The sequence below is a fragment of the Homo sapiens genome, chromosome 6, assembly GCF_000001405.40.
Source record: "Homo sapiens chromosome 6, GRCh38.p14 Primary Assembly".
Taxonomy (NCBI): Eukaryota; Metazoa; Chordata; class Mammalia; order Primates; family Hominidae; genus Homo; species Homo sapiens.
This window is the reverse complement of record NC_000006.12, coordinates 139,959,159-139,976,983: the sequence shown is the minus strand read 5'-3', so window position 1 is coordinate 139,976,983 and position 17,825 is coordinate 139,959,159. Positions and strand designations below refer to the sequence as shown.

At 35.7% G+C, this 17,825-nt stretch overlaps 1 long non-coding RNA gene across 2 annotated transcripts in view; it reads right to left on the bottom strand.

Moving 5' to 3' along the window:
• LINC02941 (long intergenic non-protein coding RNA 2941) overlaps positions 1-665 on the bottom strand; it is a 117,403-nt gene extending 116,738 nt beyond the window's left edge. For both annotated transcript variants that reach the window (NR_121622.1, NR_121623.1), the window contains exon 1: positions 552-665. This is a non-coding gene — a long non-coding RNA (long intergenic non-protein coding RNA 2941). The remainder of the gene's footprint in view (positions 1-551) is intronic.
• Between the last annotated feature and the right edge of the window lie 17,160 nt (positions 666-17,825).

Sequence of the window (17,825 nt, the reverse complement as noted above, 5' to 3'; positions counted from 1 at the left end):
AGCTACTTTGGAGGCTGAGATGGGAGAATCACCTGAGCCCAGGAGGTTGAGGTTGCAGTGAGCTGAAATCGTGCCACTGCATTCCGTCGCTGCACTCCAGCAGCCTGGGTGACAGAGCGAGACCCTATCTCAAAACAAAACAAAGCAACCAAATCAATTCTCACTAAAAATAAACATACCTAAGACATCATCGTATATTTTAAATTCTTTCTAATTAAAGCAATGTTACTAAATATATTTTAAAGAGGCTTGTTATAAATGAAATACTTACAAGGTCATTGTACTGAATTCAAAATTTTTGTTATATGGAAGTTGTAGAACTTTGGGATTATGAAATACTAACACAAGTAAAAAATATAAAGTCCAATCTTTGAAAAGAAGATACTTTGTCTTAGTCAGTTTGGGCTGCTACAACAAAATACCATGGATGTGGTGGCTTCAACAACAGACATTTATTTTCTCACAGTTCTGGAGGCTGGGAAGTCTAAGATCAAGGTACTGGCCGATATGGTTCTTGGTGAGGGCATTCTTCCTACCTGATAGATAGTTACCTTTTTGCTGTGTGCTCATATGATCTTTCCTCAGTACCTGAGCATGGAGAGAGAGAAAGCTCCTGTGTTTCTTCATTTCCTTTGAAAGACATTAATCCCATCACGTAGTCCCCAACCTCATGATCTCATCTAAGCCTAACTACCTCCCAAAGGCCCCACCTCCAAATACCATCAAGATGGGGATTAGGACTTCAACATATGAATTTGGGAGTAACACAGTCAGTCCATAGACACTTCTAGGAAATCTTTTCCATGTAGTCCAGATGCATCTAGCATGCAAACCACAACAGGCTACAGAAGTGACTTGAGGGCAAGAAGAAAGATCCTTCTTTCAGACCCTAAACTCATCTTTCATGGGCCCAGGAAGGAGCCCCCAGCATGGAGGATACCCAAAGACTGAACAATAATATGAGGCTTGAGGCTCACAAATAAACCTCATTAAGAGAGAACTGGGAAAAATCAGAGTCAGAGAAAGAAGGAAAAAAGGTATGGCGGTGGGTAATGGGATTTGAGGTAGGAAAGGAAATGGGAAGGAGCAGAGCACTAGGAGGGAAGGGGAGGCGAAGGGGGAAGGTCAAAGGAAGAGAGAGGGAAGAAGATGACAAGAGCGAGCATAGTTTCACTTTCTCAGCATTAAAATCCTGAAATGGACACTCTAAAAATAAAAACTACAGGAGGTGGGGATTTTACCTGTAAATAATTTAAAAATCACTGAGCTTCCTGCCATGATAGCGCAGGCTATAGATTCCAACAATCTGAAGTGATTTTAAACGTCCCTCTCTAGAGAATAAGTAATAACATCCATCTCCCCCATAGAACAAAATTCCCTTTCTTGATGGAACTGAATGGGGTCAGTGGCATTTTTTTCTTGGAATCTTCACCAGCCCAAACTATAGACATAAGCCAACTTTCACAGAGGCTAGAGATTGTTAAGCTGTGGCTTGTCACCTATAACCCATTTTTATAAAATGTGAATGAAGGCTACTATATTGTTAGTGGCCACCTGTGGACATAAAGAATTTATAAGAGAAAAGTCAATAATGTCTTACCATGTAAGCACATCTGAAATACTGATATGATTTCAGCATTAAGTAAACACTAAAGCAAATTTGGTGACTAGTTGTATGTGTGATACACATATACATATGCATGTATGTATACCATTTAAAAAGAAACACCAAAAAAGTTTAAAATACACTGATTTTATGACAGCTGAAGAGCTAATTGTTGCTTTCCACTATTAAAACTTGGTAAATACCAATAGGAGAGGAATTGCTCAGCTTTAGGAAGGGGTAATTAGGTTTAATGGAACCAGTTGAGAAGAGGAACATTAAGCCTGTTGGGAAAAATTTCCTCCCAATGAAAACTATTAGATAATGGAATCACTTTCCAAGAGAAATGCCTGAAATCCTATCACTGAGGATATTTAGGATTCAGCTGGACATTACAAGACATTCCATGTCTCAGACTTTATGCCCTTTTATGTCCAAAATATGTTAGTATTTTATTTGATGAAATATATTCCAATCCTTTCTTCAGGACTACATATATAAAGAGACTGTATATGTGTATAAATATGCATATATAGTATAAATACATACATATATGTACTATATTTAGACTGTATATGTACAGTCCAAATATACACATAAATACACATATACATATACATACGTACTAAATATACATATACATATGTACTATACATATGTAGTCTAAATATAGTACATATGTGTATATGTGTATGTAGAGAGAGATAGGTAGATAGGCAGGTAGGTAGATTAATTGATAAATAGATAAATAGATATAAGGGAGAGAAACAGAAAAAGAATCTTAAGATTCAAGGTTCTTTTCTGTTTGTTTTTAAACTTGCAGGTTACAAATGAAAACACTAAAAACTGTGATTGATGAACAATAAAGAAATATACTCAGATAACAAGCACCTCCCTTTTTCTTGTTATACTAATTTCACCCTCAAGAGTCAGAAGCAACCAGGTTTGCATTTATTTTCAGTTAGTACTGGTTGCTTCTGAGAATAAGCCCAACTATTAATCTGAAATTCCAATAAAAGCACCAAAAAAAAAAAACCTCAGATGACAAAAATTAAAAATGTTCAGACTCTTAGTGAGAATTTAAGGTTCAATGACTTATCTAACTTTTTCTTGTAAAAAGAACAATCACTTTCAGAAAACCTATGCCCGCATGGAATGATGCATCCACTTCCTCCTAAACATAGATCACATTATCAGTGTTGCCAAATATATCAACAACAGCCTGACTGTTGAACACCATGTTTATCTAATGGACCATAACAGACAGCGAGAACAAGCACAGTTGGAGACAGCAATCTCTAAAAGTATTTCCAAACCAGCATCATTCTTTATTTTTTTTCTTTCCTTTTTCAATTAAGGGAAAGGGAGTTATTAAGCAAGACATACAAAAGCACTGTTAGGATAGCTCCACTGAAACCATTTCTTTCTGCTAAAATGTAAAATAATTCTGGAGGGTCACATTTTTATGTATTCACATGAGAACTAGGACAGAGAAGAAGGAGGGCCGTGGAGTCAAGTTTACACTGGACACCTAATCAAATCTGTTGTGAATTGCATAGAGAAAATTCCTAAGGACTCCAGAGATAAATTCTCAACTTTTCCCCTGTGCAGAGTGAAACAGTTCAAAGCTGAGGATCAGGATGGGACTGAGAGGGATTTTATTTAAATACTTGTGAGAAAAATAATGCAATTATTCAAAATGTTTAACATGATTTAATTTCAGGAATGAGACAAATTTGTTATAAAATGTTGAGAAAATACGGGTAAGTCAAAAGGAGAAAATAAACCACATATAATCCAATAATGCAGAGATAAGTGCTATTAAAATTTTGGTTTATATTTTCCCAATCTGATATGTCCTGAAACAGGTATTTTAAAAACAAAATAGAATATTTTGTATAATTTTGTGTAGTAATATTTTTCAATACATATCATATTCTGCACATTTTTCATAACAATATTTTTCTATAACACCGTTTAAATTGCTATTTGATACTCTGTTACATCAAGGCCCTCTATTTATTTTTCCAGCCCCATAGTGTTGTTACCAAACCTTTGCTATTATTAATAGTTCTGTGATATGTACTCTTACATTGTACTTTTATATGTGACCATAAATATTTCCTTAGAATAACTTACTTGAAGTGTGTCATAAAATGAACAAAACTCCAAGACTTTGTAACAGAGTGAAAATGCCCTTTATAATGTTTGTAATAATTTTCCTCTCTGCCCACAACAATGTTTATTGTGGTTTTGACAGAGTACCTTTTGTGTATTTGTTTTTGTTTACTTGAACCTATCAATCTTCTTTTATGGTTGCCTTCATAAGTTAACATTAAGAAAATTGTCACTATCTAAGATTAAATAAGTAATATATAAATAAGCTATATAAATCAAAAAAATTAAAAGATGAACATTTATTTTCTTCAAGTGGCTTTATACATCTTTTTAAAATATATAATATTTGCATCGTTATTTATTTATAATTTATGTTGATAAATAGTATAAAACAAAATAAGTTGTTACCGAACTTTCTCAATACATTTGTTAAATAAGCCATCTTGATTTGCTGATTTGATTTTATAGCACCGATTTGATGTGCTACCTCATGAAATTATTATATGCACACTATTCTTTATTTAGTTGAATCTGTAAAATTATTATAACCACTTCTTTCATGTGTCTCTAAAGAACCCAGGAGTCGCAATTATTTTACCTGTGCAGGAAGCAGTTAAAATTGATCAGCTTTTCATCATCTATGTCTATGTATTCTCAATTATTAAAAAAAAACTTTAAATATTAATCTTCCCTCAAAAATCTTAATCCATGAATAAGAAGAGTGTAGAAATCAGTAAATCATATCAAAAGGGTTTATGCAGCAACCACACTAGGGTGAGGAACCAAATTGCAAGAGAAAAATGTACTCTCATTTAAAGGACCAATAGGGTTTCCATTCTTCTTTTTTTGCTTCCTGTTCTTTCGTTACATTTCATTAAAAGCAGAGATTCTCAAAGAGGGGTCCCCAGACCAACAGCATCACATGGGAACTTGTTCGACAAAAATCATCCCAGACCTACTGAATCAACAATGGGGCCCAGAAGCTATGCTTTCACAAGTTTTCTATGTGATATTGATGCACACAAAAGCTTGATTTAAAAGAACTTTTTCAAGAAAGAATCTGAATAGAACCCACAGAAAATATTATGGTATCTGTGACATGATGGTACAACAAGCCTTTACTGAGAGATTTAATATAGACCTTTCTCCATTTGTCCTTTCCCTATTTATTATGTATGCATTCATTTATTAAACATTTTTTATATACCTCGATAAGGGCTGGAAGCTGAGTATGGACACTGAATAAAACAGATCACTTGCCCTCAAAATATTAGCAATTTATATATGGTTTTGTTCTACCTTGAAGGGAAAAGAAAACAAAAACTTATAACAGAAAAGAAAACTAGACTATTAGTTCTTTCATTTGTCAAGTTTTTTTTTTAAATACACATGGCTAGTTAAAATAAAGCCAAGTATTCTGCTTCTTAGAATATAAGCTTTTTTGTTGAAAAAACTTATGATAACATTCAAGATGAGAGCCTACAAAAATAGTACTAAAATGATCTTTAATTAAATTGCATATTACAGGGAGCGAGGTACGGAGTCATTATACTGAAACAATCAATCCAGAAAAAGCCCAAGGAAGGTGAAACTTTTGGAAAGAGTAGATAATTGACAATTTAAAGTTATAGTAATGACAGTGACAGATAACTGAGGCGTCATTGAAAAGGATCTCTCTGGAAGTGAAGAAGGACCACATGATGTATAAAAGATTGAGAAACAGCGACAATTTAGATTTGGGGAGTAGACGTAAGAAATGGAAGGAGAGAACAGGATGATTCTGAGTATTAGAAACTCAAGAAAAAGGCATAACCACAACCTTTTTTAAAGATGAGGACCAGGACTAACTAACTGACACGTTTGCTTTGTGCTAATTATGTTAAATCATTAGTTTCTCTCCTCTAAGCCTGTGCCTCTTTCCACAGTGAGCAAAGCAATCATTTGTCCTAACATCAAATCTCTTCCTCTTTAGGCTCAGCTCAGGACATACTTTCCCTGACAAACCCCTTCCCCATGCTGACTACACAATTCTTCACCTGGTGTCTTATTCAAACTCTTACGATAATTACAGGAGACCCAGTGCAATTTTAATAGCCCGATCCAGATTTATGAATGACATAGTGAGATAAATCAACTCAGCTTGCCCCAAAGGGTAGGTAGTAATGCAGAATGATACAGAAAAAAAAAAAAAAAAAAGGTCTCTAGAATGTTCAATGGGATACTTGCAGCAGGGTATTTTCCACTCTTAGGGAAAAAAAAGCTCTCCACCGCTAATGTCTGATCACACTCCCATATCAGCCAGTATTTGTTCTCTTCACCTAGACAACTTCTCATTCTTCAGAAAGAAATTTAAGCGTCATTTCCTCCATGAAGCTCATTCTAATTTGCTTGGACTATTCAAATTTTCCTGTGAGAGGTTCTTATTGCTTTTGGATCCCTCTTCACAAAACTGACCACAATTATAACTTTACATATATTTATGTGATTAAAGTTCACTTACTTCCCCTTTCTACATCTATTTTTTTCTTTTTTGAATCAGAACCTAAGGTACTGTCTAACACATGGCAGCTGCTTACAAATTCTTTAAATACTTGTTGAATGAATAAATGACTATTCACATCCTTGAACAAGTAAAGCAACCTCCCATTCCTGACTTTTAAGGTCTCTTTTACTATTGTTTTCTCTGTCTAGAATATTCCTCTCTTGAAATCCATATCTTGTTCCCACAGTGCCATCAGCAACATTTGTCAAATTATCAATAGAGGTCTTTCATCCTGGTTTTTTTTTAATTTTAAGTTCTGGGGTGCATGCGCAGGATGTGCAAGTTTGTTACATAGGTAAACATGTGCCATGGTGGTTTGCTGCATCTATCAACCCATCACCTAGGTATTAAGCTCAGTATGCATTAGCTACTTTTCCTGATGCTCTCCCCAACCCACCCTCTCCCAACAGGTCCCAGTGTGTGTTGTTCCCCTCCCTGTGTCCATGAGTTCTCATTTTTCAGCTCCCTCTTATAAGTGAGAACATGTGGGACTTGGTTTTCTGTTCCTGTGTTAGTTTGCTGAGAAAACAGCTTTCAGCTCCATCCATGTCACTGCAAAGGACATGATCTCATTCGTTTTTATGGCTACATAGTATTCCATGGTGTATATGTACCACATTTTCTTTAGCCAGTCTGTCATTGATGGGCATCCTGTTATTTTAATACAAAAAGCCACTTTTCTTTCTCATAAGTTCTTACATATTCCCATTTACTATTTGTTTTCTCCCCAACAGAATAAACTTCTATGAGAATAAATACTGACTCCTTCATTTACTACTGTATTTCCAGCATTGTACTGTGTTTGAAGGAGTGAAAAAGGAAATTTCTACCTCTCCTGTGTTAGAGTAACTGAAGGAGACCGTCACGGGACTGAGGTGCACCAGAATTTACCAAACTGATTGTAGTAGCCACAAGATAAGGATACTGTCTATTTTATGTGGTTCAGACTTGGAGTAACAAGAAGTGGAGCAGCAGGGAGAAGAAAAGGGAGGTGCTGTTGTGTACAAACTTGAGGATGTGTTGTCTTTAGCCACTGTTACCAAAGCAGATGACATCTCAAGATTTTAGACACTGAATGGCATGAATGGACAAGGCAAAAAAAAAAAGGCTTTTTCAAGCATAAGCTAATAATTTAATGCTAATATATATTTTTCTGTTAAATTAATATAAATATAACTCTAGGCCAAGAGCCCTCGCAAGATACAGGTGATAATGGAAAAAGAACATTGCCTGGTCCCACATAGGTGGTAAATGCAGAGATACTCCACTCACCAAAGTGAGTTCATTGTAAGAGTTATAATCTCACCTCTTCATGACAATTGCCAGGATCTTATGAACGTTGTGTGCATTGTGATGTTTATTTTATTTCTCATTGCCCTCCATAATGGACCTTGCTGTGTTCCCCCAAAATTCATATGTTGAAGTCCTAACTCCCAATACCTCAGAATATTACTGTATTTAGAATGACCTATTTAGGGACATAAAGGTTAAATGAAATTACTGGAGAGGGCCCCAGTCCAGTTTGACTGGTTTCATAGGAAGAGGAGATTAGGACACAAACACACACAGAGGAAAGACCATGTGAACATACACAAAGAAGACGGCCATTTGCAAGCCAAAAAGAGAGACCTCAGAAGAAATCAATCATGCCGACACCTTGATCTCAGAATTCCAGGCTCCAAAACCATAAGAAAAAAAATTCTGCTGTTTAAGTCACTCAGTCTATGGTATTTTGTTTTGGCAACCATAGCAAACTAATACACACTCTATTTTAAACAGTTTTAATTTATACTTACAAACTTAGTAAAATGCATAATGCCCGAAAGGCCTATTTGCTGATTTATTGAATGAGAATGGAAAAAATAGTTAAATTTAGAATAGATATCAGCAAATATTAACCACAACGTGAAATAGACAAAGTGTTTAGAAGATATTTACTGGTGATATATTTGCCTGAGAAGAAACCCCTATCATTAGGACAATGGTTCTCCAAGGAAGTATATAGATTGCACTTCATGTACACTGATACCTGAGAGTACATAATTTACACATACTGATAAATGAGAAAATACAACTGGAAAGAGAGATAAAAGAAGTATGTCCCCAAAGAAGTGACAAGCAGTGGAGATTTGGGAAGATACAGGTGTCAAAAAATAGATTATTTTTGGAGGAGTGGGAAGGAGCAGGAGATCATGAAAATGACAATGAAGAAAAGACCTATGGAAATGATAGCAAAATGAGTCTAAAATGTAAAGCAGAGGCAGAAGAGCAAAGAAAAAAGATGATTATTAGCATCACTGACCCATGGGCAAGGGCCCTAAAACTTTTTAAGGGTCATTAGGAATATCTGAAGTTCGCACATAAAATGCATTGAACACAAACATGAAAAGAAAACTGGAAAACCAAATTTTAAGATACATAGGGTTTACAAATTATGTCCTCTAGTCAACTGTATTTTATAAGTATACGGCAGTTATGTATCAGTTTTATATTACGTGGGGGAAAAGAACATTTAACATGCTCGGTATGATTCATGTGGGCGTGTAAGAGAGTCAAGGATCTTAGAAGTTTTTTTAAATTGCCCCAGAAAAAGGTGACAAAGCAATGTAGAGGAGAAGGAGGATATGGTAAAGACAGTATGACTTTATGTAAGGTATGGAATTGTGAGCTTTTTAGCAATTTTTATTGGTACCGTCAGACAGTTGTTCCTAGAAGAAAACATTGAGGGAAGTAATAATCAGTGCTGAAAACTCAGACATCATGTTTTGTCTTACTTTTTGGCATTATGGTTGCTAAATTATAATGCAAAAGCATATTCTTGCATTAGCAATCCAGTTTTTCAAAAAGCACATGGTTATGTCTAAATGATAGCAGGTAAACATTAATTGAACACACTCAGTGAAAGAAATATGCCATCAGAGGAAAAAGCATCATTTACCAATTGCTTGGCATTATGAAGAGAACTTTTTTTCTTACTTTTTCAAGAGATTGAATCACCACTTCCTTTAGAAATGACCTAATAAAACATATTTGGTTGCTCACATCAATATGAATCCATTGCTCAGTCAAACATGGCCACTGTTGACCATTAAAAAACAGTGTTTCTGGGGAATGCAAATAAGCAGTTATGTTAGTATCTTCAGAGAAACTTCTATAACAGTTCAAATAGAATACAAGTCTATTGATTAACACTTAATTAAAAAGATAAAGCAACCCAGTGTGATTTCACACTTGAAAGAAGAATTATGACAACTTAATTTAATGCCAAAATATGGAGTTTTATTTTAATGGAATAGTATGGGAATTTTAGGGAGGGTATAACAAATAATAAAAATCAGGATGTTTATCATATTGATAGGGCATAATAAATTTTTACAACATTCTGCCAGCATGTGAAACCTGAAAATAAATTTGACTAGAAGATAAAAAAGCCTGAGTTTCAGTTCTCAGAAGAGGGAAATTGATTGTTTAAGCCATAAAAATTAAAACCATATCTTAAATTTTCCACCATTACAGATTCTAAGGCCTAGAAGTATACATTTTCTAATGTGTACAGGTACATCTCTTATGCAGTCAGACTAAGTAAATCCAGTATGCTAAGTACTTCACACAATATGTGTAGATGGTGAATTTTGCAGTTATAGAGTTCAATTATTAAACAAACAACTGGTCTCCTTTCTTGAAACTAAAACTATCATTCGGTATAAATCTATTACTATACTTTAAGTACAAGTATCATTGCATTCCATCAATATAAAAGAGATTAACCAGTATGCTCTGATTCACACACAAGCATTTCTGGGATCTGAGAATATGGGAAATAAACCTTCACTGTTAATGTGGGCAATATTGCTAAGAGGTAACAATACCCACCATACTTAATTATACTTTGAGCTTTGCATTTTTAAGCAGTGAATTTTAAAATAATAAACATAACCAATGTACACATGTCAAGCCTAAAACTCAGTTCTATTTCAGCAATTATACAGGCTGAAATTTATCCTTTTATATGCCTATTTCTGGTATCATAGTGAGAGCACGGGGCTGGACATTCAAATGCAAAGCTATTGTCCAAACCTGTTGATTTAGAAGCTCAAGAATTCTAACTAGTCATTTAACTCCTCAGAGCTGATTCCTTCATCTGTAAAATAGATATAATTGTACTTACTTGCCATAACCTCACAACAAGATAGGAGAAGCAGAATACAATAGCAGGTATCACAAGTAAAAACTTTGAATCAAATACTAACTAGATGCTCCTAATGGACATATCACATTGGGTAAATGATTTCATCTCATTGGGCCTTGCTTATGAAATAACAAGAACAGTAGTAATAGCATCACACATGTGTATAGCATGAACTACATGCCAGGGAGTGTTGCATGTGCTTCAAATATATTAACCCATCAAATACCCAACATGCATGTGAAAGCTATACTTCATTGCCTAGTAGATTTCAGTCTGTTGAACAAAAGTTGGATAAATAAAACTGAAATATGATTTGAAATACAAGATTTTGGCATTATTTCTGTGTAAGATAAATACCTAAGTGTCTTTATAAGGAAAGGTAGAAAAAGAGTTAAATTTCTGTATAGGTGGAAAAAATGTGAAAGGATATTTTATGTTTCTAATTTTCATTAAAAAATAAATTAAGAGCAAAAATATATGAACAAGAAAATACAAAAATGGGCTACTCAGAAATATGTGGAACAGTCCAGCTGTTAGAATTTGCTATTAAACTTGACCTAAAGTAATAAAACAAAGCTTTACATATATGCTTACAGAAGCCTTCGAGTTAAGGGTTCCATTCTAACATTTGTATTTAGTGATGTCTGGTTGCTAATTAGTTAAAGACACTCTGGAAGTGGGCAGTTCACTGCAGGGTAAATTGTATACTAATAACCTAGGGAGAACCATGATCCATTTTCAGGATTTAACATCAAGAGTGGCAAGAAGCAATAATTATACTGAAATAAACACACACACATAAATGCACAGAGATAATTTTAAAACATTTAATGGTAGTGAAGAGTAAATTATTTAACTCCAACCAGGGATAAGAGCCTTTTGGTAGCTATCACTTACTGCAGTAAATCTGCTGAAGTTTGCATTTCCTGGCTGCTGGCTCTGTTTATTTAAAGTCATTCTGAATGCTCTGCTAGAAAGGATTTCAGTGGTGCTGCCAAATTTTCACTAGATTAAAAATGTGCTCTGCTGATAATATTTTTATAAACACTGCACACTGAACAAGAGCAATGTTCTTTAGATACCAATTTGCTGCTCTTCTACAGCCAGTCTTTCTGCTAGGTCTTGTCAATTGACAGATTCTGTTCAATATGGTTATTTCTGCTGAAATGTACTAGAGAACTTACATCAAAGTCCCCTTATGGGTTAAAATGTTGAATTTGGTGTCTCTCTTTAACTAGTACAGCCACTAGACAATTCATCAGTGTGAATGCTGGAATGTCCAAATATTTGTTAGAAAAAAAAAATGTCTATAAAGCCAAGGCCTTCAACTTCAGGAAAGGTAACAAATGATTTGATGTCAAATGTGACTTGTAGGAAAGCACTCAGTTTAAAAATATTTTCCCTCGACCCTGATGCTCAGGTAGAAATTGCTTTCACTATCATTAAAGTAGTCATAGTGAAGGAATTCTTAGGCTTTCCATTATTTCCTTAGATTTATCCCGGGACACAAAAGCCACAGGAGTTTCATTAAAGCAAACTTAACTCACAATAGGTTTCATGAGTGGCGGAGAGGAGTCTAATCTGAAAACTAAGGAGTCAGCAAAAGTTAATGGCTGGAGCAAAGGGAAACTCAAATTATTAGAAAAGAAAAGCTTTGACTAAGGAGTAGCAAAAGTTGAGGATAGAAATAGCGGCTATACAATAAGAGATAAAAATACATTTCTAAAGGGTTAAAGGCAAGAGAAAATCGAGTAAAAAGGCCAAGTACAAGAAGAAAAAAAGGAAGAATATCCCGGAGGAAAAGTATCAAAATAGGTAAATGTGGAAATATTGCTGAGTCCTCCTTCATTGGCAGACCTTTTCCTATGGGTTATCTAAAATTACTTTCAAACTAAAGTTCCTGGACCTCAGAAGATGTCTGAAGCTTTGGCATCAATATAGGTCAAATTGCCTGGATCACAGACTTTGCTGGGAGATAAAAGTGAAGTATTTTAATATTATTTAAATTGTTTATTTTATTTTTAAAAATACTTATATGGCAGAGAGTAAGCTTACAAGATGTTTTTAAACTAAAATAAATTTTAGACTAGCTCAGGTTCACTTTCTGCTTTTGCCCCAGTCTATTTTCTACCCCTCCAGTTAGAGACACTTTGAATAGAAGAGAAGTGTAATTATTTCAGCCACTGAAAAGGGAATGAGGTTTAGAGCAAGTTCAAGAAGGGCTTCTTAATTCTTCCCTGGTACTTAGACTTCACTCTCATAGCTGTTACTGGCTTTTTAATGGGACTTCATTAGGGAAGACTAGTTATAGCCTTTTGACTTTCAACAAAGATAACTGAAAAACAGTCATGTCTCAATTTATTTCAAATACATATATATATATACACATATACACAGAGAGAGAGAAATATATTTTTAAAACAGACAAATTAATTCAATTTTTCTAAACATGAAACAAGATATAACAGAGAACAAGTGCTAAAAATCAATTCAGGGTGGCAGCATTTTAAGTGATATTTTTCTTCTAGATTTAGTTAGTAAGTTATAAAAAGTTATCCCCATTAACCCTAAGAAGATTGAATATGGGACATTGATGAGCAGACATGACTTAATTCCAATCCAATCTTACTTCTTCTTGTGAAGGTTAAGCACCATCCTTAGAAAAGAATTTCAACTGTATCAACAATTGGGGTTCAGCCTTGTTTTGTTTATTTGACTACAAGGAATCTAACAGAAGCCAAATGCCTAATGTGGAAGATGAGGAAAAAGGGAAGGGAGTTTCTATGAGGCTCCAGGGAGCAAGCTCATGAAAAATAAAGAGGTCTAGCACATTGAGTCAGATTCTGGAATGGGGTTTGAAGATGGCAAGGCAGAGAGTACAAATAGCTGCCCACCCTGAATTATATAAGGCCCTGTGGGGTGTAAAACTGAGTATGAGTGAAGTTTAACAAAAGTAATAACACTTTGAGGCCCAAGCTACATTGCAGTGGAGACCCTTTTGAAAGAGTCTACCATAGCAGAGACAGAGCCAATGCCCCCACCTGTTTACGGAGGGACAGTAAAGTGTTACCAAGCAATCAATGGGTTGTTGCCCAATGTGCATAGAGACCAATGCCATGGCACCAGCTTTCGAGAAAAGAAAAGCTTTACTATGAGTCAACTGGCAAGGAGACAGGAGAAAATGCTCAAATGTGTCTCCCTGAGCTGGGGTTTGAATCGACTTTTATAAGCATAAGGTAATGAAGTGCGATCTGATTGGATCTTACAATGAGGTGATGCTGGGAGGCATGATCTGACTGGATCCTGCCATGGAGTCATTTCACAGCTCAGTCTGATTGGATGCTGTATCTTGCCATGGGGTGGCAGAATGGGGCTTCTTAATTCAGTCTCCCCTCCTTGGTCTGAGCACTTATGTTGCCCCTGTGGTTGCACACTTGGTTCATCTGGGCATGCTCAGGTTATGTGACCTTCAACCTGCGGGGTCCATGACAACTGAAAAACAAGTCACAACTTTGTTACATAAAAGTTGAACCAGATTGTTGTGATCCGTTTACAGAAGCAATCCTATTTAGAGTGTAACAGCACTGCTTCAAGTAGTGGCCAAAGCAAAAGTAACTAGAATGTGTCCTTGAATAACTTGCCAAGTGATCACAGTGGCCCTGGGGAATAGTACAGCATCAGCCTAAAACAGTGACAAAGTGACAGCAATACCACTGGGAGCTGCTTACAAAGCAGACTAGACTGCAAGATATCAGAGAAAGGAGGAAATTGTGATGGGTGGAGCTAGAGTCCTTGCAAACTGATGGTTGAGAAATAGCCAGATAGTAAAAGCCAGGTATGCATATCTATACCTCGTTGTACCCGCAACCTAGAATATACTCTGGGAGTATTTGGAAAAAAGAGAAAGGAACCGATATGAGACATTGCAGTGATAGAATTGAAAAAAACTCAAAAAGCAATAGAAGAACGGTGATAAGAACTCCAAGATTACAGCGACGTCTTGAGTCAGAGTCTCTGATGGAAGATTGGGAAAATTGTTTTTAAAACATGTAATATTAAATATAAGTGTTATTGATTCAATGTCATCTGGTTTTCTGATTAGTATACAATACAATCTGTCTCAAAACAAATCTCTTACTCTTCCATCTAAATGTATGTTTCCTTTGTGTTTCTCTGCATTCTCTTGGGCACTCAGATTCAGGACTTTACCATCATCCTAGACCAGTTCCTCTTCCATGTCACTCATATTCAGTATCTGAACTCCTTGATTCCACTTCAAAAATGTCTCATGTTTGTCCTCTTTTCTCCATTCTTATTGTTCAGTTTACAGAACATGACATCAGGAGTGGCTTTAAAGTCAGTTATTTACTAATCATCCCCAAACTTAACAAACACTCAAGCATTATTATCTTTGATTATCTAAGGCATATCTTTTTTAGGACCATTAGCACTTTGTATTTATATTAATTTCTGTGGACATTTCAGCTCCTCTATTAGACTATAAGTTTGTGGGAAGAATCTGTAATGAATCATTTTTAATGGGCTTATGCATTGTAGCCTAACATGAGTTAAATGAGGGCTGAAAAGATGAATAAATGACATTCTAATCACCTGTAAGGCTAAATATTAGGTAATGTACTAAAAAAGAATGTATACATTTTTAGGATATTATTTCTAATATTTGCACAGACATTTATAAATTCTTCAAATAAACATTCATTGTCATCATTCTCCTGCCTATAGATATCTAGGAGGGCTTATATGCCTATACCCACACATACATATTATGCTAGGCTATGCTAACAAGACAGCATTTAATAGCATTAGACTTAATCAAAAGACCTGAGTGTTAATTCAGCTCTGTCAATTACTCGCCATATAATCTGGCTTAGTTATTTTACCTCTCTAAGCCTCCAGTTCTTCTTATGTAAGTGATTTAACTTCTAGAATTGTTTTGATGCTAAAATGATTTGATGAGTAAGAAAGCATAGTCTGTTCCAAATAGATCTAATACTGCAAATGGAAATTTTTGTATATTTCCTTCTTCCTTTTATCTCTTCCTTTTATTGCCTTCTCCCTTCCTCTCACTCTCCCTCTGTCTCTCTATTTCTTCAAGCTACTGTTTAATGTACTAGAATAAACACAGGACTAGGAGCCAAAAGACTTGTGTTCTACAGTTTAATAGTTGAGTGACCTTGGGCAATGCACTTAGTGTTTACAAATCTGTTTCCTTTTCTATATAATTTTTTAAAAAATGGACGTGGAAATGCCACGAAAGCTGTGAATCTTTATTAATCTATAAGATTTTATTAGGTTTAAAAAAATAACATGAGGTCATTATTACTGCCCCAGTTGTTTGTAATACCTTCTCTTGAGATCATGTTCTTGACCTTGGGTAAAACACAAACAGGATTTTTGACAGATTGCATTCCTTCAGGAAAATCTGAAACTGGAGTTTGGTTTACAATACACAGACCCTCATACAAAGCAATTGAATTAATGGAGCATAGATTGGTGGGGCTAATGCACAATTCCTTCGAAGTAATTCTCATTTGCCTTTGAAATGTTTTGGGTAACTATACCTAAACACTGATACATAAATACTGTGAGAAGTAACAGAAATTCACACCCTGAATAATGCAAGCACCCTGAGGCAGTCTGACTAAGGAAAAACAAATGTTCCACATTACCCATTTTATTCCATTGTTCAGAATCTTCCTTGTCCATGAGTATTCTAGAGACAGGTGGACCTCCAAGACATATGGTAATAGAGCACCAGCCTGGTTGAGCCCTACTTTCATACTTTCTCAGAATTATAACAAATGCTTTCCTTACTCGTTGCTGGAGCTTTGAGAGAAAAAAAAAGTCAAGTGAAAATTAGAAAGAAAAAAAATCCAAAGTACTTTATTGTTTAGTGTACTTAATTTCATCAATAAAATCTGAAAATAGGAGCTGTCAGATATGCAAATATGCAAGAATTGGCTAGTATTTCACTTAGCTCTCATAAAATTTTTGCATGTTCTGGCAAAGATTGTCAAATCATTCTAGCTGAAAGAAAACTAATTTCCACAAACTGCTATTTGCTATATTCTTCCAAAAGTCTGTCATTACCACCTGTACACAGTAGCTAATTATCTCCTGTCTGTTGTTTAAATAAATGTATTTTGTTTACATTCATCTGTACCACTAAGAGGTCTTTAAAAATAATTGATCACGAAAAACTTGAATTTGAAAAAAAAAACTTGTAGAAAGTAAGTATAATTTAAAGGAAGGATGGTAGCTTAAAGGACTGTGAGAGAAAAGACGCAGGAGGAGAGGAAAGGAACAGATAAAGATACATTCATATATTATTCATATCATATGTGCAGCCATTTTGTAAAAGGTGAAATGAAAATAGGCTCACATGGGAAAATAAAACATACTCTTTTGTTATAAGTTGTGACTGTTAGGAGGTTTTTTTTTTTTTGAGATGGAGTCTCTCTCTGTCGCCCAGGCTGGAGTGCAGTGGCTTGATCTCGGCTCACTGCAAGCTTCGCCTCCCGGGTTCATGCCGTTCTCCTGCCTCAGCCTCCCGAGTAGCTGGGAGTACAGGTGCCCGCCACCACGCCCGGCTAATTTTTTGTATTTTTAGTAGAGACGCGATTTCACCGTGTTAGCCAGGATGGTCTTGATCTCCTGACCTCGTGATCTGCCCGCCTGGGCCTCCCAAAGTGTTTTTGTTTGTTTTTTGGTTTTTTTTTTTTTGAGATGGAGTTTCACTCTTGTTGCCCAGGCTGGAGTGCAATGGCGCTATCTCGGCTCACTGCAACCTCCGCCTCCCAGGTCCAAGTGATTCTCCTGCCTCAGCCTCCCAAGCAGCTGGGATTACAGGTGCCAGCCATCACGCCCGGCTAATTTTTGTATTTTAAGTGGAGACGGGGTTTCACCATGTTGGCCAGGCTGGTCTGGAACTCCTGACCTCAGGTGATCTGTCCGCCTCGGCCTCCCAAAGTGCTGGGATTACAGGCGTGAGCCACCGCGCCCGGTGTGGTTAGGAGTTCTTTGAAGGAAAGTCCTAGATTTGCATTAAACTGTGACATGAGTGAGAAAGACAATTTTGTGTGAAGGCACTGAGATATTCTGGTTATTTTTTAACACAATCAAAATTAAGTACCCTGAAATATATAAGAAGTAAATGCTAATTCATAAAGTAAAAATCTTAAGTGCCGTAGAAGTTTAAAGAAGATGGAGATCTGTTAACATCTCAACATTATGAACTCGAATACTCCATAGAGACTTAGTTTCTCACACTCTGTTTTTAAATGAGTTGCAGTAGTCAAGAGGAAAACATATGGAAGAGAAAGAAATCAAGCTGGACTTTGGAGGTAAACATG